The sequence below is a fragment of the Homo sapiens genome, chromosome 15 (genome assembly GCF_000001405.40).
Source record: "Homo sapiens chromosome 15, GRCh38.p14 Primary Assembly".
NCBI classification, from domain to species: Eukaryota; Metazoa; Chordata; class Mammalia; order Primates; family Hominidae; genus Homo; species Homo sapiens.
Window position 1 is genome coordinate 82,392,305 of NC_000015.10, and position 23,451 is coordinate 82,415,755.

A 23,451-nucleotide genomic window follows, 5' to 3' on the forward strand; every position below is an offset into this window, starting at 1 on the left:
CAAATGTTATCTCCTGCAAGCAACAGAAATCTCCACTAGCTCACCACTACCCCTAACTTCTTCCTGGATTTACCTATTTAGGCATCAGCTATTGACTTTTTAGTATAATATGTGAGAATTTAGCTCTTATACCACCCACTTTCCCTTCCTCTTTAGTCATATAAGTAATCACTAATTATCATTAGGACTTTGTAAAGCCAAGTTTTGTAGAATATTTAGGATAGGATATTTCTTTCCTTGGTGTTGCTTTTTGTTTTGCAGTGTCTTCCTCATAACAGTAATTTTTAATTTAAAAAATTCTGTTGTAGCCCTTTCTGTGAGATCTCCTTCTCTTCCAAAGCCTTTGGCTCCTCTGTGCCCATTTTGGCAGGTTGTTCTTCGGGTTGGCTGTGCACATGTCATCTTGAGGTTTTTCTCATCTGCTCGCCTAGAGTACATCCATTGTTTCCTGGATCCCATGTCATCTTCTTTGGCTTTCCCTTTGTCATTTTACCTGACTATGTCCTCAAGTAAAACCCTAAGAAAGCATGGAGTGGTATATTTTCTGATCTCTAGCTTCTGAAAAAATACAATCCAGTGTTTGGGTTTTGGAGCCAGTCTGAGATAGGTTTGAATCTTGGTTCTACTACTTATTAGCTGTATGCCCTTGGGCAGATTCCCTAATTGCTCTATGCATCAATTTCCATTTGCAAAATGGGGGAACCAGTAATAGTATTAGTACCTATGTTTCTAGGGAGCTGTGAGGATTAAATGAGTTGGTACATGTAAACCATTTAGAACAGTGCCTGGTGCTTAGCCCATCCCCATCACTATTCACTTTTGTCATAGTCTACCCTCACACTTGATTGATAGTTTGGTTGATTATGTATTTCTAGGTTGAGGATAATTTTACCTTAGAATTTCAAAGTCTGTGCTGTTGTCTTCTAACCAGTCATGGTGGTGAGGCCTCATGTCACCCTGAGTTTCACTCATTCATGCATGACTTTCTCTCTGGAAGCTTTTAGGAGTTTGTCTTTTCCTTGGTGAGCTGAAATAGCACAACATTGTACTTAGTGTGTGTCTTTTTTCATTCACTGTGCTGGGTACACCAAATGGATAGGCCTATGGATCGTCTCTTTCAAAGTTGGAATCTTGAATCTTGTCATATTTTTGTTAACTTTCTCCTTTCCATTTTATTTGTTCATTTTGAAGTGTCTGTTAATTGGATTTTAGTCCTCTTGTTTGAGTCTTGTATCTCACGTCATTTCTAATTTTTTTTAAATTTTAAGTTCTGGAATATTTTTCTTATTTTTTGACTTTTAGGAAATTTTATTTGGACAGTCATAACTTTAAGTTTTGTTTTGGTTATTTATTGTTGCTTAACCAATTTTCCCAAAACTTAATGGCATAAAACTACACATTTGTCTATCTGTCACTACTGTATGGGCTAACTGGGGGTAGCTGGACAGTTTTTCTGCTGGTCTCATTTGGCATCTCTCACTGTGCGGTTAGACGGTGTCAGAGACTGGTCATCTGGATGCTCAGCTGCAGTGGAATGTCTGAGACGGCTGCTTCACCCACAGGTCTGCTGCCTTGGTGTTTCTTCTTGTGGCCTTCTCCTCTGCATAGCGTCTCATCCTCTCAGGCCTCTTTGTGTGGTTTCTCTTTCTCCAAGAGGATAGTCAGTACTTATTTTGGCTACTAGAAGCACAGAAGTGGAGCTGCCAGGTGTTCTTAAGGCTTAGACCTGGAACAGGTCCAGTGTCATTTCTACCAAATTCTATAGGTTAAAGTGAGTCTTGAGGCCAACCCAGATTCACTGTGGGATGGGCCTGTCCAGGGACATGATAACAGGAGGTTAGGCTCATTGGGGACCAACTCCCAAGATGAACCCTGAGTTCTAAGAACTTTTTCTTCTCTGATTATTCCATATTCATATTCTAATTTTGTTTTATTCATGTAATATATTCACAAGTGTCCTTATGAAGTGATTTTGATGCTCTTTTGTCTTCTCCCTAGCATCTCTTTGTTCTTTAATAAATTTTTTTCTTAGTTTATTTTGGTCTTATTTTTCTTTTTAAAACCTTTCCTTAAATATCTATTCTATGTTGCTTATCATTTGTAGTCTTTTTTTTTTTTTTTGAGACGGAGTTTCGCTCTTGTTGCCCAGGATGGAGTGCGATGGCGTGATCTTGGCTCACCGCAACCTTTGCCTCCTGGGGTCAAGCGATTCTCCTGCCTCAGCCTCCTGAGTAGCTGGGATTACAGGCATGTGCCACCACACCTGGCTAATTTTTGTATTTTTAGTACAGAAGGGGTTTCTCCATGTTGGTCAGGCTGGTTTCGAATTCCTGACCTCAGGTGATCCACCCACCTCGGCCTCCCAAAGTGCTGGGATTAAAGGCGTGAGCCACTGTGCCTGGCCTGTATTCTTTTTTTTTTTTAAATTCCCTTTTTTGTTCATTCATATTTGAGAGAGGTACTGAAAGACTGGGAGGCTGGGTGTGGTGGCTCACACCTACAATCTCAGTGCTTTCGGAGATTGACGTGGGAGGATCACTTGAGCCCAGGAGCTCAAGAGTAGTTTGGGCAATATTATGAGACCCCATCTTTACAAAAAATAAATTAAAAAAAAAAAAGCCAGGTGTGGTGACACCCACCTGTAGTCCCAGCTACTTGGGAGGCTGAGGCAGGAGGATCGCTTGAGCCCAGGATGTTGAGGCTAAAGTGAGTTGTGATCATGCTGCTGCATTCCTGCATTCCAGCCTGGGTGAAAGAGCAAGATCCTTTCTCAAATAAATAAATAAATAAAATAAATAAATACAAATAAAAAAATAAAGAATTGATTGGGAGTTCTGCATGGCGAAGACTTGGCAACTGATAGCTTTTAGGGGGGAATGTATGCTGATTCCTAATTGTTATCCTCTACCCCTCTATCTTATCTCCCAGTGCAATCATAAATGATGGCTGGAACTACTCCATTCCTCTGGAGGTGAAATCTACATTCTCTTGTCTGAGGTAGATATGTTTGCTTGGGTTCTGCTTAAGGAGATGGAGGAGAGCAGTGTGTTTCAGGGCCTGGAAAAGGTGTTCTCTATATAGGCTTTTGGTTAATCTCTGTTTTCAGTCTTGCCTGTCAGTCCCACTCTCGGGGGTACCTGGTGTCTGAGTCTAGAACCTTTCCAGGTTGCTGTGGGACAAATTAGCTTCCTTGTTTTTGGTATCCCCCAACCTCCACTTTTGTTTGCTTGCTCCATTAATTAACCATTTTCCATTTACTGTCATTTTCTAATGGAGGTGAATTCTCTTCTGTGGGTAACCCCATTTCTTTTTTTTGTAATTGTTTGTTTATATATTGTTTATTCTTCACTGTATTTCTAGTGGAGCCTCAGGACAAAGAGCAGATGGTGGAAATATGTGTTCAGTGTTCAGTTTTTTTCTGTAAGACATCTGCAACTTGTGTTTTTCACTGAATATCACGTGGACTTAATGCATATAGAGCTACCTTGTTTTTCTTGATTGTGCCTACAATTCTATGGAGAAATATAATTTGTGAATTACCTGATGAAATTTTCCTAATTTTGAATCATCCTTGCATTCCTATAATAAACACTGTTAGAATGGCTATGGTAATATTTTATTTTTGCATTTTTACTTCTTTATAAAATAAGATTATAGTTTTGTTTGTTTCTTTTAAGGCTCTTATTTCAGTATCAAGGGTATGCAGGGCTAACTCGGGAAGCTTTACATCTTTTTTCTAAGACCTAGGATGTAGATCTAGTTTACACAGTAATTTTCAACTGCAGGAATATTTTGCCTCCCATGGGACATTTGGAAATATCTGGAGACATTTTTGTGGTCACAACTGGTCACGGTCGGGAGGTCTTATTGGCATTCCGTGGGTAGAGGGGATGTTACTAAATGTCCCACAACACACCAGGAGAACCCTCACAAAGAATTGTCTGGCCCAAGATATCAATATTGCTGAGGCTGACAAACCCTGGTTTAAATAAATGTCCAATTTGGAGGATGAGTCTGTCTTTTTCCTTCTTCTGCGTATTGGTCTCCAGATTTTCCATTTCTTCAGTTAGTTTTCGTAACTGTAGATTCTTAAAAGAAATGAACACTTCTCCCATACTTCTAAGGTGTTGTAAAGATGTGTAAAGTTTTCACTTTTTGCATCATATTCACATGTGGCTATATGCCCTTTTGTCTTCAAAGTTTTCTTTATCTTGATCACTTATCAGAGGCGTGACTGTTTTATTATCTTAGTCTTTTGAAAGAATCCTCCCTTAGTTTTATTTTTTAAATTTAGTGGGTTGTTTTCACATTTTCCTTGTGTCTTAATTATTTCCCCTTTTTGTTTATTTTGCTTTTTCTAGTTTAGTGGATCAATGTAATTTAAACTGCTTTTTAAACAAACCTGTAATGGTATACATTTTCTTTGGGTGCTGTTTGACTTTATTGCACAAGTTTTAAAATCTATTTTCTAAATAGTTTGTATTTTCCAAGTCATTTTATTGCATCCTCTGTTCACATTGCTCTTACTATTAAAACTTTTTATTTGCCCGGCATGGTGGCTTATGCCTGTAATCCCAGCACTTTGGGAGGCCAAGGCAGGTGAATGACCTGAGATTGGGAGTTCGAGACCAGCCTGATCAACATGGAGAGAGCCCGTCTCTACTAAAAGTACAAAAATTAGCTGGGCATGGTGGTGCATGCCTGTAATCCCAGCTACTTGGGAGGCTGAGGCAGGAGAATCGCTTGAACCCAGGAGACAGAGGTTGCAGTGAGCTGAGATCACGCCACTGCACTCCAGCCTGGGCAACAAGAGTGAAATTCCACCTCAAAAAAAAAAAAAAAAAAAAAAAGACATGTATTGAAATTATGTAAAACATAAGCTTAGTGTAACATATAGTTAGAGCGAGTACTTGGGAACTAATACCTAGCCAGCACCAAGGTGAAGAGAAGGCACATTGCTTGCACTACAGAAACCTTCTGCAGGCTGCTTCCTGATCACCATGCCTCTGTACGCTCATCTTGCCTTATATTTCTCTAGTGTTATCACTCATATATGCATCCTTCAACAATACGGTGTAGTGTTGCCTATTGTTTGAACTTTTGAAAATCATACTATATGTATTTTTTCATATCTTTGTTGTGCTCAACATTGTGTGTGAAATTTGTTCCCATTGTGTGTAGTTATAGTTCTTTTGCATTGCTGTATTTACTCCATTGTTTGAATATACCATACCATTTATCCCCTTGACTAGATACAGACATGTGGGTTGTTTCCAGTGTTATTAGGAACAGTGATTGCTGCTGTGGTCATTCTTGTCTGTATTTCATGGTATCCTTGTGCCAGCATTTCTCTGGGGCACATACTTAGGAGTTGGATGACTGAGGCATGAGGATCAATTTCTTCTTTTACCCAAGAGTTATCTAGAAAAAAAAAGCATTTTCAGGTGGCTTTTGAGGTGTTTTTAGTGCATCAGTGTGGTCAGAGAATATGGCCTGTGACCTTTCAGCGAGATTATCAGCAATCATTTAGACTTCACTATTGGTGTTACTGTTGCCTTTGCTTATTGCTACTTCTTGTATCATGTCTCCTGCTCCCTGCCCCTCGAGTATATCCCTGAATAATATCCTGGGTTTTTGTTTTTTTTTTTTTCCTAGAAAGGGTTTGTGGGGATGTGTATGGAGTGTGTTCCATGAACTTGCTGTCTGTTATCATTTGTTCAACAAATATTTGACTCTGTATAAAGTACTCCATCCATATCAGTGTGGAGAATCCAGAGGCAAACATACACAGATACGCTTCCTGTCTTGACGGAGCTAGATATAGAATTCTGAGGTCATAATTGAGTTTCTTTCCAGGTCTTTATACTTTTATGTTCTGATATTTATTGTTGTAGATGAAAAGTCTGATGCCTATCTGATTCTTAGTTCTTTCTGATAGTTAGTATGATTTTCTGTGTAACTGTAAAGTGTGGGGGTTTTACTTCTTTTTTTTTTTTTGAGACAAGAATCTCGCTCTGTCAGCCAGGCTGGAGTGCAGTGGTGCGATCTTGGATCACTGCAACCTCCACCTCTCAGGTTCAAATGATACTCCCGCCTCAGCCTCCTGAGTAGCTGGGATTACAGGCATGTACCACCATGCCCAACTAAATTTTGTATTATTAGTAGAGATAGGGTTTCACCATGTTAGCCAGGATGGTCTCGATCTGCTGACCTCGTGATCCACCCGCCTTGATCTCTCAAAGTGCTGGAATTACAGATGTGAGCCACCTTAATGTTTTGCTGAGTCACGTCATTGTGTCCTGGCCCTTCTGCAACTGGTGTGTTGTTTTGTTTTTTTTTTTTTTTTTTTGGTTTAGAGGTCTTATTTTTACCTCCTAGAATTGTCTTTTGCATAGTAATCTGTTTTGTATTTTGTGGATACAGTATCTTCTCAATTACTGCTAAAGATTCCAATTAGGTTTTAAAATTCTGCTTGTTTCCTTCATTAGCAGTGCTTCAGGTCATTCGTGCTTCTTTGACTTGGCACCTTCCTTTCAGGTTGCTAATTTTCTTCAACTCTCTGATAATACATGGTTATCTGTTCATTTATAGATGAGGTATACCTTTGATCAGTATGAGTTGTTATGAGTGTCTTCAGAATTGTTACTCTTTTCTGCTGTGGCCTCCCCCTCCTGGTTTGCAGACCTGTGCTCTTCCTGTGGCATGAGGGTGGGGAGGTGCTGGCCAGTGAGCTTTCCAGATTTTGAGCTAAAAGGAAGAGGCAGAGTCTGTTATAAGATTTTGCTGCTGCATTGAGTTATATTAAAAAAACATTCTGTCTTTTCTCTCTGGTTTTGTCACTGATAGTGAGAGACCATCAAGACAGGCTTCCTATTACCAGAGTGATCCTTACCAACTATAGTTGGGACAAGTACAGTGAGGAATGATCCTTCAAACAAAAGTGGTCCCTCCATTATTTGGATTGGGTTTGTGGCTTTCTCGAGCCCAGCAGTCTGATTCCATCTGCTTTGTATCTTCTAGCATGTCCTTATAGTTTTGGTTCACTAAGGGTATTCTTTTTGTATTTGTTGTTTTGCTGCTGCTGCAGCCGACTTACTCTCTTTTATAAAATTCTGTCATTTCAGTGGGGTTTTAGAAAGAGGACCAGGTCACATCTTGAAATGAAATTAATCTTAGGATTTCACAGCCCTAACTCACTTTTTGTTTTGATTAAATTACTTCCCCTTTTTGACGGGATAGGGGCTCAGCTTTCTCATGTGTAAAATGAAGGCTAGTAACTGGGCTAGTGGTGACAGACCCAGATGCATGTGAGAATCACCTCAGAGAGATTTTGCAAAAGAGATTCTTTGGGTAGGCTTTGAAATTAGCATTTCAAAAATGCTCTTTCAACCATTGATGCAACCAAATTTTTTGGGACTTTGAGGCTAGGTATATATTCTTTAGATACCCAGAATAATTGGCTTTGGAATATAAGAATTTAGGGAAATGAAGAAGGGGTGAATTACATTTTGGAAGCTTCTGCTTAGATACTGCTGAGACCTTTGTTGGTCTTGATTTCTGGATCCTAGTTTCTAGATCTTTTACATATTCTGAGTTCTAATCTGAACTGGCCTTTATGGTTAAAGCTGCATATATATACTGTGTCCTGGCCAGGAAGCTTGTCTTTTGACCTTTGCCCGAACTGGGTACGAAAGCCCCTCCTAAAAATTCATTAGATTCATTTCTGAACTTGATAATTGTAATTTGTGTTAATTGGTAAATTGTGTCTTGTAGAGAGATATTCGATAGTAAATTACATGTTTTTAAAAAGACAATTTGCTTTATAGTGAGGTGGTAATCAATTCATAACTCTTAGTTTTGGGGAGCGTCTATTGTAAGTAACACATCTGACCTCTTAAAATGTAAGGAAATTGAATTTATGTAATGATTCAGGCTTTTCAAAGTTAAAAAGGTAGCTGTTTTGAGGAACTGATAGTTTGGAATATTTATTTTAAACAAAATAAGCCTTTGATCTTATGCACATAGCCGTACAAGTAAAATGTTTTCTTATTTTAAATTAGATTATGTTTTAGAATTTTTTTCAGTTTTGCTTTATATTTGACTGATTGCTTTTCTTTATTCCTAAGGCATCCATTAAGTTGAATTGTTCAAAATTGTTTCATTTTTAAAAGCTGAGAACTGTTGTTTGTCAAATCAAAGTTGGATTTAAAAATGCATATTTTAATTTTAATAAGCTCTTTGGTAGTGGGACTGCAGTGACAGATGGTTGGGAGTTTGTCCCTAAAGCTGTGACACCAATCTTCTAATGTGCATATTTGTTCTGTGTAGTTCTGGCAGATTCTTTCTCTATTTCAGAATGGGACAACAGAAGAAGTGACTTCAAAAGAAGACGAAGAGGAAGAGATGGATGAAGTGGGTATTTTATATAAGAATAACATTATGGCCAGGCGAGGTGACTCATGCCTGTAACCCCAGCACTATGGGAGGCCATGGTGGGTGGATCACCTGAGGACAGGAGTTTGAGACCAGCCTGGCCAACATGGCGAAACTCTGTCTCTATTAAAAGTACAAAAATTAGCCGGGCATGGTGGTAGGCACATGTAATCTCAGCTACTCCGGAGGCTGAGGCAGGAGAATTGCTTGAATCCAGGAGGTGGAGGTTGCAGTGAGCCAAGATCGTGCCACTGCACTCCTGCCTGAGTGACGAGCAAGACTCTTGTCTCAAAAAAAAAACCAAAAAAAATCATAAAATATCTTCAGTTTTGGACATTTGAGTAATTCTCTAATCTCCTTTATAAATAACTATTAATATGGAATAATTGAAAGCACGTCGTATTTGGAATGGAATGTAATTTATAAATTCTGGCTTTACCTCTAACTCATGATATGCCTTCGGGCAAATTGTTTTATCTGAATTCTTGGATTTGATTTTCTGGAAAACAAAAGCTCTTAACTTTTAGCACTAAAATTATATTTAATACTAATCAGTACTTAACCTGTATTTGGTTATTTTTTGGAAGAGAAACTACTGAGTTTAAAAAATTTTATGTTTGCATAAAAGGAGAATTTCAGAATATTTTAGAGACTACTTGCCAGAAGTAGTGAAACTGTCTCTTGCTGAAAAATCATTCAAAGAAATTTGTCTTAGTCTGTTTTATAGTATTGTAACAGAATAACAGAGAGTGAGTAATTTATGAAGAACAGTCATTTATTTTCTGACAGTTCTGGAGTCTGGGAAATCCAAGATGAAAATATCAACATTTGGTGTCTCAGGACCTTCTTGTTTCATCCTCACATGGTAGCAGGCAGAAGGGCAGGAGAGCAAGCTAGTCCAATGTGTGAAGCCTCATTCATAAGGGCCTTAATCCCATGAAGGAGAAAGGAGCCCTCTTGGCCTAATCATCTCTTAAAAGTCCTACCTCTTAATATCATCACATTGGCAACACTTGAATTTTGGAGGGAATACATTCAAACAGTAGCAAATTTAGTAGAGCAAATTCCAAAGACATTGAGCCTAGGCCAGCTGTCAGTCATGGGTATAATTTTAGATGTTTTCAGGCTCTGAAGCTTTGCACTTAAATTTGAACTTCAGAACAAAGATCTGTGTCTCTGCATTGACCAAATAGAATGTATGTGAATTCCATGGTGTTGATTGTTTTAAAAGATTTTTTTCTGTTTGGGGTCTTATAATTAATTTAGGCTTTCATTTTCTTGGTTTGGAAATTATTAATCTAAAATGTACTTTAGAGTGCTTCGGAACTAAAAAGGTAGTGTTGTAGGCTTGTTTTTGTTTGTTTTTTGAGACAGGGTTTCACTGTCACCCAGGCTGGAGTGCAGTAGCGCCGGCATGGCTCACTGTAACCTTGAACTCCTGGGTTCAAGCGATCCTCCTGAGTAGCTGGGACTACAGGCCGGTGCCCCACGTCCAGCTAATTTTTTTTTATTTTTTTGTAGAGTTTGAGTCTCACTCTGTTGCCCAGGCTGGTCTTGAACTCCTGGCCTCAAGTGATCCACCACCTCGGCCTCCCAAAGTGCTGGGATTACAGGTGTGTGCCACTGTGCCTGGCTGTAGGCTTGTTTTATGAGTCTGGGAGTAAAATACTTCTTAAAATTGTCCAATTAGGATGAGAGTCTGTTTTAATGTTTTTATGCAGTTTAGCTTAGGTGGAATAAACTGCATGAAAACATTAAACCTTTTCCATGGGTCAGGCAGCCATTGTACTAAAGTTCATGAACCCTTTCATTTTCCCTTGACAAGATAATAAACAAGGGACCGCAACTTTGAGGGAAATCTAGAAAGGTAGGAGACTGGACTTTGGAGTTGTCAGATTAGGACAGGTGAAAAGCAGATATTCTAGGCTCCTAAAATAATGTGGGAACAGGCCCAGAGCAACTTTGGACATGGTGTGTTTGGGTGCATTGGATGCTTTTCTTTTGAGAAGGAAGGTTGATGTGTTGAAGTCATGGAAAGCAAGATTGTCCAGAAAAGACAGATGGACAGAAGTCTTGAATTTGAGACAGGCATGTTTCTATTTGGTATGTTTGTTGATAAGAAGGCCTTAAGCAGGGAATCGTGTGCTGAGAATATTGTTTTAGAAAGATATGTTGAATTCTGTTTGGGATGTGCTGATTAATACTTAGGTGGAGAAGTTTTGTGGATGGGAACATGACTGAGGTTGAAGGTACAGGTGGAAATACAGGCCAAAGGCATTTGTGAGCATTGTGGGAAAACAAGTGTGGGTGGAAGATCAGGGCTGAAAGGTGCACACAGGGAGAAGGGAGCTCCATGAAGTACATGGGCAGAGTTTGAGTGAAGGTAGTCAGTAATCTGGTCTAGAAATTGGTGAATTAAGCGGCTTGGGAAAAAAGTCGAGATAAATATAAACTACCCCTTTAGAGATTTTGGCAATTGAAGTAGAAATATAAGGTAATTGAAAAAAGTTAGGATTTAAACAATTCTGCATATATTTGCGTATGTGTAAGAACAGATAGTATGGGAAGGGAGGGAGCAGAATGATGTGAATAAAGATGTTGTTCTGCAGGGTATTATTCAAATTCTTTTGAAATTATTATTAGTTTTTGAGATAGGGTCGCTGTCACCCAGGGTGGAGTGCAGTGGCATGATCATAGCTTACTGCAGCCTCGAACTCCCGGGACCAAACAGTGCTTCTATTTCAGCCTCCTGAGCACCTGAGATCAAATTCTTTTTCTAACTTATTTTTAAGTTATTAACATCAATAGGTGCTTACTACATAAAACCATAAACTTGGAAATCAGGGGAAAGCACCAAATGTCTCCAGAGATAACAACTAAAATTAATTGAAATTAACATTTCAATGTAAGTTGTTCTGGTCTTTTTCTGTGCTTATTTCAGCATAATTGAAATTCTCTCTATTCCTTTGTGTAATCCATTTTTCATTTCAAAGTTTTTCGATACAGGAGAAATTATGCCGTGTTGATATTTCAGTGGCTGCTTAATAGTTCATGGAATTGAGTTAACTGTTTTGCTATTTTTGCACATGCAGATTTTGTGTTTGTTTTTGTGGTTGCAAGGTTGAAATAGGTATTCTTATGCCTAAATTTGTGTTTACCTCTTAGACTAGTTTCTTGTAATACAATTCTAGAAGTCGAGTTTCTGGAACAAACTATGAACAGTTAAGGTTCTTGACACCTGCTGCTAAACTGTTTCAAAGGTTCCTCTTAGGAGATTTAAAAGATGGCTTGGCCAGGCGTGGTGTCTCACGCCGGTAATCCCAGCACTTTGGGAGGCTGAGGTGGGCAGATCACTTGACGTCATAAGTTTGAGACCAGCCTGGCCAACATGTTGAAACCCTGTCTCTACTAAAAATACAAAGAAATTAGCTGGGCGTGGTGGTGTACGTCTGTAATCCCAGCTACTCAGGAGACTGAGGCATGAGAATCACTTGAACCTGGGAGGCAGAGGTTGCAGTGAGCAGAGATCGCGCCACTATACTCCTGCCTGAGTGACAGAGTGAGACTCTATCTTACAAAAATAAAATAAAATAAATAAAGAAGTAAATAAATAAATGATGGCTTATTTCATAATAGTTGTGACTTTGTAAAGCTTTTAAATCTGCTTTCCCCAGAGTCTAGCTTTTAAATAAAATACAGGATATAAAAGGTGGGAGCCTCTTGAATGGAATGTGGGGGCTTTTTCTTTCTCCCCATAGGATAGATATATTCTGTTTCCTGTCCCCCACCAAGTCAAGAATAATTTAAGTTTTGGCATAAGAAACTGCTGAAGGAAAGTGGGTTGAATCGGCTAATATTTTTCTTCTTTTTGCAGGATATAGAAGACTTAGATCACTATGAGATGAAAGAAGAGCCTATTAGTGAGAAGAAGTTGGAGGATGAAGGAACTGAAAAAGAAAATTGGGCAATATTAGAGAAAATTAGGAAGACTGAAAGGCAAGGCCATTTAAATGTGTAAGTGTGTATAAATATCTGGACTTTTTGGTTAAGTAATTATAGTTAATACCAGGCAATTCATGAACATGCCGATGTCAGCTGCTCTCCTCCTCCATTCCTGCCTTAGTGGTGGATTCAGTCATGTGTTTATTGGTTTTGAGACAGGGTCTTGCTCTGTCGCCTGGGCTAGAGAGCAGTAGCACAATCATAGTTCACTGTAGCCTTTATCTCCCAGGCTGCAGTGGTCCTCCTACCTCAGCCTCCCAAGTGTCTCAGATTATAGTCATGTGCCACCACACCAGGCTAATTTTTTTGATTTTTAGTAAAGATGAGGTCTCACTGTGTTGACCATGCTGGTCTTGAACACCTGAGTTCAAGCAGTCCTGCTACCTTGGCCTGCCCAAGTGCTGGGATTACAGACATGAGCCACCATGCCTAGCCATGCTCATATGCTTTGTTGCCGAAGGTTATCTTTCTCATCTATGAATAGCCACGTTTTACCCTGTTCATCTGCTCTTCACATCCTGGAACCACCTGCTGATCCCTGTATATGCCCCTTTCCAGCTTGTCTATGCTGTGTTCTCTGCTTACCTTCTTTCTGTGGCATCTGTAAATTCAAGTTCATTCTTTCCTACAAAACACAACTCAAATTATTTCTCCTTCATGAAGCTGACTTTGACCCATCCTGCTCTGACCAAACCAAAAGTAATGTTTCTCTTTTGACTTAACATCTCTTTTATGTGAAGCGGCAGGATGGGAAAGGAACACTGAGTTTGGTGACAGACACACCTTTTATGGTTTCACTTTGCTCAACCCTAAAATATGGAGAGACAGTACATATCTTTTGGATGGTTGCTATGAAAAATAAATTAAAATGATGCATGTATATACATAAAATGCTTAGACAGAGTAGGGAAACATCAAATGATTGTCTGAACAGTTACTGCTTCCTGCCTTGTATTAGAGCTATTTACCAACTCCACAACATCCGAGGACCAGTTACTTTGTCTTGGGCACAGGTTCTCCAAAACAGGGAATGAATTGTTAGGCAAGCAAATGCCAGATGTTGAAATCAGATAACTCTCCCTCCTTCAATCTTATTTGTATATTAATTTAATTGGTAATTTTTCATACAGCAAAGAAATTTAGTTAATCTCCATATCTTGATTATTTAAAAAACTAAGATTGTAGCATTTGAATTAATGTTACTGTACTTCCTGTGTCTTGTGATCAATTCCAGTTTGAGTTATCTTCAAAACAAGTAAAAATTATAATTTTGCATGACCGATACTATACTAAATACTTTATACTAATAAAGATCTTTTCATTTAGTCATCATAGCCACTGTGTGAAATAGGTGCTGTTTATACTTTAGAGATATGAAAAACTTTTCATATTTTATAGATATGAAATGAGTTCAGGTTTACATAGCTAGGAGGTAATATTTTTATAAACTTGATTTTTTTCCCCCTTCAAAGTCTAGTGCAGTCTTTAAAACCTCTAGTTTCACATGACCAAAAAGTAGTTCCATTTCTGTTTAGTCTTAGGATAAGATATGGATGTGTTTTCATCTTTAGAGAAGTCCCTGCACTGAAAAACTGAAACCAGTTGCATGTAGGCACACGTGGTTCTCAGTGTCTTAATGTGTGAACTAGACCATCTGTGTAATATTCTTGCTTGTAGTCTTATGAATGGAAGCCTATTTTACTTAATATTGTGTCACCTTGAGTATTTTCAAAAATTGCTGGGGTTTGGAATAGACTCATACTGAATTCTATGCTATCGTGGAGTCCATGGTTATCTGAACATGTTGGCTAGAGTTTTTTAGGTGATAAGAAAAAGGAAATGAACCAGACTTGTGTCTAGTTTTATATTCTCTTGAAACTTCATAATGCTTCATTTAATTGTCTTTTTTTTTTTTTTTTTTTTTTTACTTCTTAAATTGTTGAGTGGTGATCCATTTTTATTGTAATCTTTCTCTTTTTTCTTTTTTTTTTCTTTTGAGATGGAGTCTTGCTCTGTGGCCCAGGCCAGAGTTCAGTGGCACCATCTCAGCTCACTACTACCTCCACCTCCCAGGTTCAAGTGATTATCTTGCCTCAACTTCCCGAGTAGCTGGGACTACAGGCACATGCAACCATGCCCGGCCAACTTTTGTATTTTTTAAATCAGAGATGGGGTTTCATGCTGATGACCAGGCTGGTTTCAAACTCTTGGCCTCAAGTGATCCACCTGCCTCGGCCTCCCAAAGTGCTGGGATTATAGGTGTGAACCACTGTGCCTGGCTACTGTAATCTTTTAGAGCAGGTTGAAATACCTTAAATCTTTAAATTAGTTGGCTCAGTAGACCCTGGTAAACAGCGGCTTTTGTGTTTCCGGCTGAAGTGTCTGGGTCAGTGCAAGCTTGCAAGCTTCAGATAGACTTATACATATACAGGGCTCAGGGACATATACAGATCACAGAGTTATAAGACAGGTAAGGATCTCTAAATCCCTTCTCTTATTGTTCTTTTGTTCTTTTCTGTTGTCAGATTATAAATGTCATTTCTTAAAGCTGGACAGAAATGGAAATGTTTACTAGCTTTATTTTGTGAAACTCAAATGCAATCAAGTTCCAAAAGATGTAGGGGGTAAGATAGGATGAGTTTGCTTGTTTTTGGATTTAAAGAAATTGTTTTTATAGGTCCGTTGGAATTTTTTTGGTCATCCTCCTGATAGAGTGAACATTTACATGATTTTTATCTTCTGGCAAAAAGCTTGAGCAATATTGCTTGATAAGTAAATAAGAGTAATACATTTCATTATACAGAGAATGATTGCCAAGTTGATTTTTGTGATTTTTCCCCCCAGTTTTGAAAGCAACATAATCAACTCTTATTGTGGAGGTAGTTATGTTATTACTTTAAAAATATATAGGTGGAGTACACCTGTTGTCCTAGCTACTAGAGGTGGTGGGAAGCTGAGGCAGGAAGATCTTTTGAGCTTGGGGAAGTCAAGGCTGCAGTGAGCTGTGATTGCACCATTATATTCCAGCCTGGGTGACAGAGTGAGACACCCTGTATCATAAAACAAAAACAAGGGGGAGTGGAGGGTGGGATACATATTGTATATGTATATATAGGACAGTTGTAGAAAAATACCGATTTTTTAGTGATTTAACTTTTGACGGTTCCGTCCATGGCAAATTTTTCTCCTTGAACACCTTGGCTAATAATACAAGTTTAGGAAAGCATATTAAACTGTGTTTGAATTCTTGAGAAAATTATATACATATGACTGTTTTCCTTTAGAATGACTCCAAACTCTGAACCCCCTTATTAGATTAGATTTAGGGTATTGTGATCCCTTTGGGACATTTATTCTAAAGGAGCTGGAAACTATAGTGGCCTCTATTTTTCCTGGGGATATAGAGCAGCTTAAGATCTCCTCTTTCTGGAACTTATCCTAGGTGCTCTATTTTAGCTTTCAGATTGGTTCATTTTTGAGTTAGTTAAAATAATAATAATAATAATAATCTTTTTGTTTGAATTGTTTTTTGTTTTGGAATTCTCAAGGTTGACCCTGATAGTCCTTTGCACAGTGATCTTTAGATCTTAAAAAGAAGCGATAGGAGACATTTTGCTTATCTTTCAAGGTAAGAAAATGGTTATGAGACTCTATATCCTTCTAATGGGGGTGTGTATTTGTACAAGTGTTTTGGAAAACGGTTTGGGAAAGTGGAAGATACTCACACCCTATGGTTCAGGAATCTCGTGGATATATACTCCACAAGAAATGAGTACATAGGTGCCAGGAGACACAGGAATGTTCAGAGCAGCATCGTTTATAATAGCCCCAAACAGAAAATAACCCAAATGTTCATTCCAATAAAATGGAGAATTGTGGTATTCATAAAATGGCTTACAGTCATGTGGGACAAGATGAGCGAATCTTGAACACTATGTTAAGCAAAAGAGACCAGACCCCCAAAACCTATTTTGTACAATTTCCTCTATATAGAGTTCAAAAATAGGCAAAACTAATGTTGGTTAGGGCATACATTCTTAGCGGAGGCAATATCGCCTGCAGTGGAGTGAAAATTGGTCCTTAGAGTGAAAGAAAATCTGACCTATTATACTGGTCTGCTGCCCTCCAAACGGCCATAGAACATAAATGAAAAGAAAACTGAGAAACACTTCTTTATGGGTTCATACTTGGGCAGTAAAACTATCAAGAAAAAAGAGGTGATTAGACACAGGGTAGAGTAAGGAGTCCATCTAGGTGGGAGGTAGGGAGGTGTGAACTGAAAGGTACATCTGTGGGCTTCTTGGATACTGGCTGTAATATATTTCTGGACCAGGTTGGTGGTTACATGGGCAAATAATTTAAAATAACTTGTTAAGGTCTACCTTAAGGTATCTTTTGTGTACTTTTCTGAATGTGTTATATTTAATAAAGTACTTTTAAGATACCAAAAATAAAGGTTACAAAAGAATAACAATGGAATCTAGAAAAAATGTTAATGATCTAATATGGAATCTAGACAAGATGTAATGGCTTAAAATCTATGGCTATATGAAGTATTTTGATGAAAAAAACAAAGACATAAAGGAATACTTTGTTGTACTTACTCTAAGGATGGTAGTAGTTTTCTAAAAGCTTACTTAGCTTTTTCATGTGTATATTTTTCCTTGGGGATATATCTTATGATTGAACTTTCTTGAAATGACCCTAATGTTAGTATTTTCTCTCAATTTTGTTATCATAGAAACTGTTGTGGTTGTCAACTGGGTTGTCTTCCTAAAGTATGAATCCAGTATAGGCTGAAGTTGCTAATGGCTACTTCTTTACGGATTCATATGGGTGAACGAATGAAGCACTCAGGCCTACAACAAAAAACACACACACACACAAAAAACAGGAAGATACCATTTTTAAAAAAAAACATTAAATCATATGAACATATGCACAACACCAAACTTTAAAGAAATAGAACCTTTGGCTGGGCATGGTGGCTCACGCCTGTAATCCCAGCACTTGGGAGGCCAAGGCAGGTGGATCACCTGAGGACAGGAGTTTGAGACCAGCCCAGCCAAGATGGTGAAACCCCATCTCTACTAAAAATACAAAAATTAGCCAGGCGTGGTGGCAGGTGCCTGTAATCCCAGCTACTTGGGAGGCTGAGGTGGGAGAATCACTTGAACCTAGGAGGCAGAGGTTGCAGTGAGCCAAGATTGCACCATTGCACTCAACAGCCTGGGTGACTAGAGTGAAACTCCATCTCAAAAAATAAAAATAAAAAAGAAATAGAACCTTATCAGTACCTGTAGCACCCTCTGTGCCCCTCCCTTGTCATGTCCTCTTTGGGAGGTATCTTGAAGGGAATGTGACATCTTGGCCAGGAAACTGGAGGATTTGTGACTGCAGGTGGTGTTTTCATTATTTTTTCCTGCTGTAGTTAGAACTTCAGGGAGGGGATGATCTGGGAGGTAAATGGCTGAAATGCTATTGGATTTGTGTTTGTGGCCCATGGCTCCTGATACCAGAAAGAAGGGCCTTTTCTGGGGTTGGAGTATTTCTTAAGACGCCTGGGAAGAATGTGATTGCCTTGAGCTAACTGACCTTCTGAAGAGGACCTTAAACTGAATTGCCAAGTTATTAGTATTGGGATTCACAGACTTTGGAGAATAGCAGGTATGACTCAGAAAGATTTACAGGAAAGAGCCAGAACAATATGTTTATGGCCTCTGATGTCCGCAGTGACAACTTGAGAGTCGTGAATAATAAGCAAAATTGAACTTGAGATAAAGTATAACACAAAGATGGGAGTGACTGCAGGAGGGAATGCGCCCTGGTCAGCAACTTGGTAAATCCAACTTGCTGTACTTTTAAGGAAGTCGTTTTCAGATGTTACAGGCAACATCAGAGTTACTGAATTGAATTCTGAGGTAGTACTTTAAGAAAGGTCTACTTAGATAAGGTTAGGTTCATTTAGAGAATAATAGCCAGGATTGGGAAGAGATTCTTTTCCATGTCCTAGGATAGCTGGTGAAATTATGGATTTGGAGAGGAAAACATGGGGGTTCTGGTTCATGATAGATTGTCTTCAACTATTTGAAGGAGTATGTATATGGAAGCATTAGTTTTTATTTGTTTTTGGTGAAGACAGGGCATAAAACTAGAACTAATAAGTCAAATTACAAAGAGGTGATTTTCAACTCAATGTAAGGAAGTGACTTGTAACTATTTAGACCCATCTGGTGATGTAGTCTTTGAAAACTAGAATGTTCTTCATCTTTAAGAATAACTTAGAAGGCTGAGATGTTAAATGGGAAGTCAGATAACTTCATGAGATCCTTGTAGAGCCTGAGAGTCTCGTTCTGAGTTAAAATATACTAAGGTAACTCAAACTTAATTTTACCAGTCACCCTCAACCTTTATTTTCCCCTCCCTGAAGAACTCTTTTTATTTCTGTAAAATCTTGATTCCTGAGTTCCAGGGTACAGAGCTTATGGAATAGAGTCCCCAGGTTTTGATGTAGGATCCTCTTTCTCCTGTCTGAAAATATCCTTTAGTATTTCCCTTAGTGTGAGTCTGCAGATAGAAAAAATCCTTATTTTTTATTTCATTATTAAAGAGTATCTTCATTGAGCGTAAGTCTCTAGATTGGCAGTTTCCATCTTTCAGCACCTTGCAGATATCATTCTGTTATGCTAGCTTCCATTGTTTCTCCTGAAGTGTTTATGGTGGTTAAATCTTGTGAAGTCTTTGATCAGTTCTGGAAAATTCTCCACAACCATATCTTCAGCTCTTGCTTCTGTCCCATTCTTTTTTTTCTTACAGGGCTCTACATATATGATAAACTTTTCAATATATTGTCTTATTTTCTCAATTTTCTACCTTTTTGTCTTTCTGACCTTTTTCCGGTTTACTGAATCTGTCTTCTGCTAGGTTACTGCTGTGGTTAAGCTTATCCATTATGTTATTAATTTCAGTTTTGGTAGTTCTAAATTGCAGAATTTCATATGGTTCATTTTATAATTTGCATTTCTCTGCCAGGTTTTCAGTCTTGTCCTGTCTTTCCTTGTCTTTCAGCAGAGTTATTTTGAAGTGTGTCTGCTAACTCTGTTATCTCAATCCCTTGTGGTTTTGTGTCTGTTGTTTGCTTCTCTTGTTTTCTGTTATGTCATCTTTAAGTCTCATGTGGCTTTTTATTTTTAGTGATAGACATTATATATGAAAAATTGCAGAGCTAATTTGAAGCCTTGGATGATATTCTTCTCCAGAGAGGATTTACATTTCCCCTGCTAGGGTCTTGGAAATTCACAATCAGGGATTGAGACGATTAAAGCTGGCCATCATTCCCTGTTGGGGCATTTTGCAGTTTGTTCTTCAGATTCCCAACCTAAGGAGTGGGAGACTTAGCAGGGCCTCTCCTCAGTGGATGCTGAGCTCCAATGTTTAACTCCCTGTGAGCTCTGTGAGGCTGTGAGTTCTAGCTCAGCTTGTTAACCTCTTCTTCTCTGCTGTCATTGGAAGAAAACCCAAGGGGGAGAAAAGAAGACCCTGTTCTCTGCTATTCCCTTTTCTCAGCCCTGTAATCATTACATTTTGTCCATCTTTCTAGTTCTCAGTGAGAGGATTGATCTAAGTTACCTACTCTATCATTATTGGAATGGTTCCTTTATATAGTTCTAGTGAAGTGAAACCCCTTCATATGTTTCATAAGTTTACCATAACACTGTTCTGTTTGGGCCTCATTTTAACTTCATTTTTATTTGCTTTGGTTTTCATTTCATTTTTTCTGTACTAATTTTACTTTTATGACTCTCACCCATTATCTGATAATAAATGTACATATTCTTTTATAGACTTTTAAAATCTTCTAAATGGTATATAGTATTAACGATGTTCTTAAAATTAATTAAACTTGCTTATTTGCTTTTTAGGATAACTTTCCATTTGAGCCTCCATTTGTTTGAGTGGTATTACCTGTTCTCTCAGGAGCATAAGTTTAAGTGATTACTTTAAATGTTTTTTTTTTTTTTTTTTTTTTTTTAGTTTAAAAAAATTTTTTGTAGAGATGAGGTCTCACTATGTTGCTCTGGCTGTTCTTGAACTCCTGGGCTCAAGTGATCCTCCCACCTTGCCCTCCCAAGGTGCTGGGATGACAGGCATGAGCTGCTGTGCCTGGGCTACGTTTTTTTTTTTAATATAGCGTGCACCAGAATCATTTGGAGAGCTAGTCCCAGGGTTTCTGATTAAGTAGGCCTGTGGTGTTGCCTGAGCATTTACGTTTTTAAGAAGTTCCCAGGTGAAACTGATACTGTTGTTCTGGGGCCTACATCTGGAACCACTGGTTATAAAGCATTATGTTGTTGATAGGTAGAGATTTTAGTGTTATATATATGCATATATACACATATATACACACACACACATATTTATACATACACACACACATATATATATTCATACATACTTTTTTATCATAAAAACCAAAGGTTTTTCAAATGTAAATTGTGATTGAAGGTTTAGAGAATGTTATGATTACAGAGTGGTCCCCCCACATACCTGTAATCCTAATTAGTACTTCTAGGAATAATCATGGGAAATCCCATGGACCTATGGAGCTGGCTAATTACTTCTAGAGGTGATAGTTGCAGTGTAGTAGAATCAAATGGTAATTGTCATGCAGTTTTACTGAAATTTGTATTGCTTCTTTTTTGTGATTGGAAGTCTTACAGAAGTGGGGAAAAGATCACAGTTTGCTAGGTTAGTTATGAAATGTTCTGTAGACCCTCAAAGTATGAGCAATTTAAAGTAACTTGAGGATTTTCAAACACTCAGCTGACTAATTCCATTATGTGACATAATCCACATTATGGTGATTAAAATCTAAATATCTCCAGCCCTTACTTTGATCATTTCTATGGTTGAGATAGTAATAGTTGCATTTAGGGTAAAAATATGAGTGACTACTTCACACTTCAGAACTTTCTCCAGAAGAGCTTTGTTGCTACAGTTATTTTTAGTTGTATTTGCTTTACATACTTATGTATGTGTTTTGGGGGCTAAGATCCTGTTAAGAATCATTCTGCATAATCAGAATACATATTAACTGTGGTGCTGATACTACGGAATAGTTGTCTGGACATGATATCCATGTGTAAAAGTTCAGAGAAACAAGAAGTGTGGGTTTAAAAAAAAAAAAACCTTAGTATTACATGTGGATGTGCTGAGCTCATTTTGAGTTTCCCCACACAGTAAAGGAATATTGGTTTTATTATTTAATTACTTAATTTTATTGAGACAGGGTCTTTGTCTGTTGCCCCAGGCTGGAGTGAGTGGTGCAATCACAGCTCACTGCAACCTCTGCCTCCCGGGCTCAAGCCATCCTGCCACCTCAGCCTCCTGAGAAGCTGGGACTGCAGGCATATGCCAGCACACCAAGCTAATTTTTGTATTTTTGATAGAGACAGGGTTTCACCATGTTGCTCATGTTGGTCTCGAACTCCCAGGCTAAAGCGATCCACCCCACTGAGACTGACAAAGTATTAGGATTATGGGTCTGAGCCACTTTGCCCAGCCCAATGTTGTTTGTTAAAATTTTTTATTTATTTACTTATCTTTTGCTTTTCTGTTTTAATTTTTAAATTTCTATTTTTTCAATATTGTGTTTTAAGAGTCTACTTACCCGACGCCTGCAGCCTAATCTTTGCCATATCTTCCCAAATGTTCTGTGAGTGCTAATATAGTGGTATGGTAATAGATATTTGTTTTGTGGGGATTGCAAGGTTTTGGGGAACCAGGTTCAAAATGTCTTTTACCAAAGGACTTCTTGGAGCCTTAATGCCATTTTCTGTTTTTCCCAAATTTGTTTATTAGTGTTCCTGACAGCATCTCAGAGGATGGTGTCCTCTGGCTTACTCTCTGGGAAATGCTGCTCTGTTGGAAATCCGGAGTTCTGAGTGATCCCCATGCGTTTTCTGCTGCAGAGCAGGACATGCTGAAGTGATTCCTTCGTGAGCAGATGTTAGAGGTCTCCCTTTGACAGCTTGTTACAAAGTTGATCACGAATATACTATTACGGTGAGTGGAAGTCCCAGGTTGGGTGTGAAGCAGAGTTGTTTAGAATTGTGTACTATTTTGTTACCTTTAAAGCTTCTCTAGGCTGTTTTGGTTTTGGCAGTAAAATTGCTATAAAAAGTACTTCTCTTGGCATACAACCTAATGGTCAGTTTTGGAAGTTCAGTGTTAAGTAACCCAGCCAAATACTTACGTATACAAAATAAACACAAGACTGAAAAATAGTAAATGTTTAACCTTTGCTCACTACAGCAGGCTTTTTACTAGCCACCAAGCCATAGTTCTTTTGTTTTTCATAGTTGAATGTTAAAATGTCTTTTTAATGAAGCCCTTACTGATTGGGGAGAAAGGACATAAGTATTGTGCTTTAGTTTTATGTGCTGGTTTATAAAATTGTGTATGTTGACTCAATATCCCCATAAGCATAGGGAAAGGAAAACGGGTCATGTTTTGTTCAGAATCTTATTTGAGAAAAAAAAAGATCAAAGAAAAGATTTGGATAAAAATCTGCAAATTCAGGATAAATGTATGAAAACATTTTAAAATGTGATTATGAAATAGACCAGTATAGCTTTTCAACATTTTGTTGTAAGAATCCCAAGAATGTAAGTTTATGATCTTAGTATACCACCTAGAATCGAGACAAATACATGAAGTTATGAATCATGCCATTTTCAGTTTTAAAATCTGTTACATAGTTTCTTCATTGATTCTTTTTTGCCACAGTGTGTTATGGTCCTCATTATTTGGATGAATAATTTGAATAATAAGTCAGCTTGTGACTTAGCCAAATAAATCTTCTGATTCCTAGTAAAGTGTTTTTCATTATACGAAATGCCAGCTATGTAAGAGGAGATTAAAAGTACTAAGAACTGTAAGTACTCCATTGATTATCATATGCTAACCATGGGCCAGGCACGGTGGCACACACCTATAATCCCAGCACTTTGGGAG

At 38.2% G+C, this 23,451-nt stretch overlaps 1 pseudogene across 1 annotated transcript in view; it reads left to right on the forward strand.

Annotated features, from left to right (window-relative positions):
• Nucleotides 1–23,307, forward strand: part of UBE2Q2P2 (UBE2Q2 pseudogene 2) — a 60,476-nt pseudogene extending 37,169 nt beyond the window's left edge. Inside the window, exons 2-5 of the transcript NR_004847.3 lie at nucleotides 8,356–8,412; nucleotides 12,308–12,447; nucleotides 15,984–16,063; nucleotides 22,297–23,307. The product of NR_004847.3 is annotated as a UBE2Q2 pseudogene 2 (transcript). The remainder of the gene's footprint in view (nucleotides 1–8,355; nucleotides 8,413–12,307; nucleotides 12,448–15,983; nucleotides 16,064–22,296) is intronic.
• The last annotated feature ends 144 nt before the right edge of the window (nucleotides 23,308–23,451 follow it).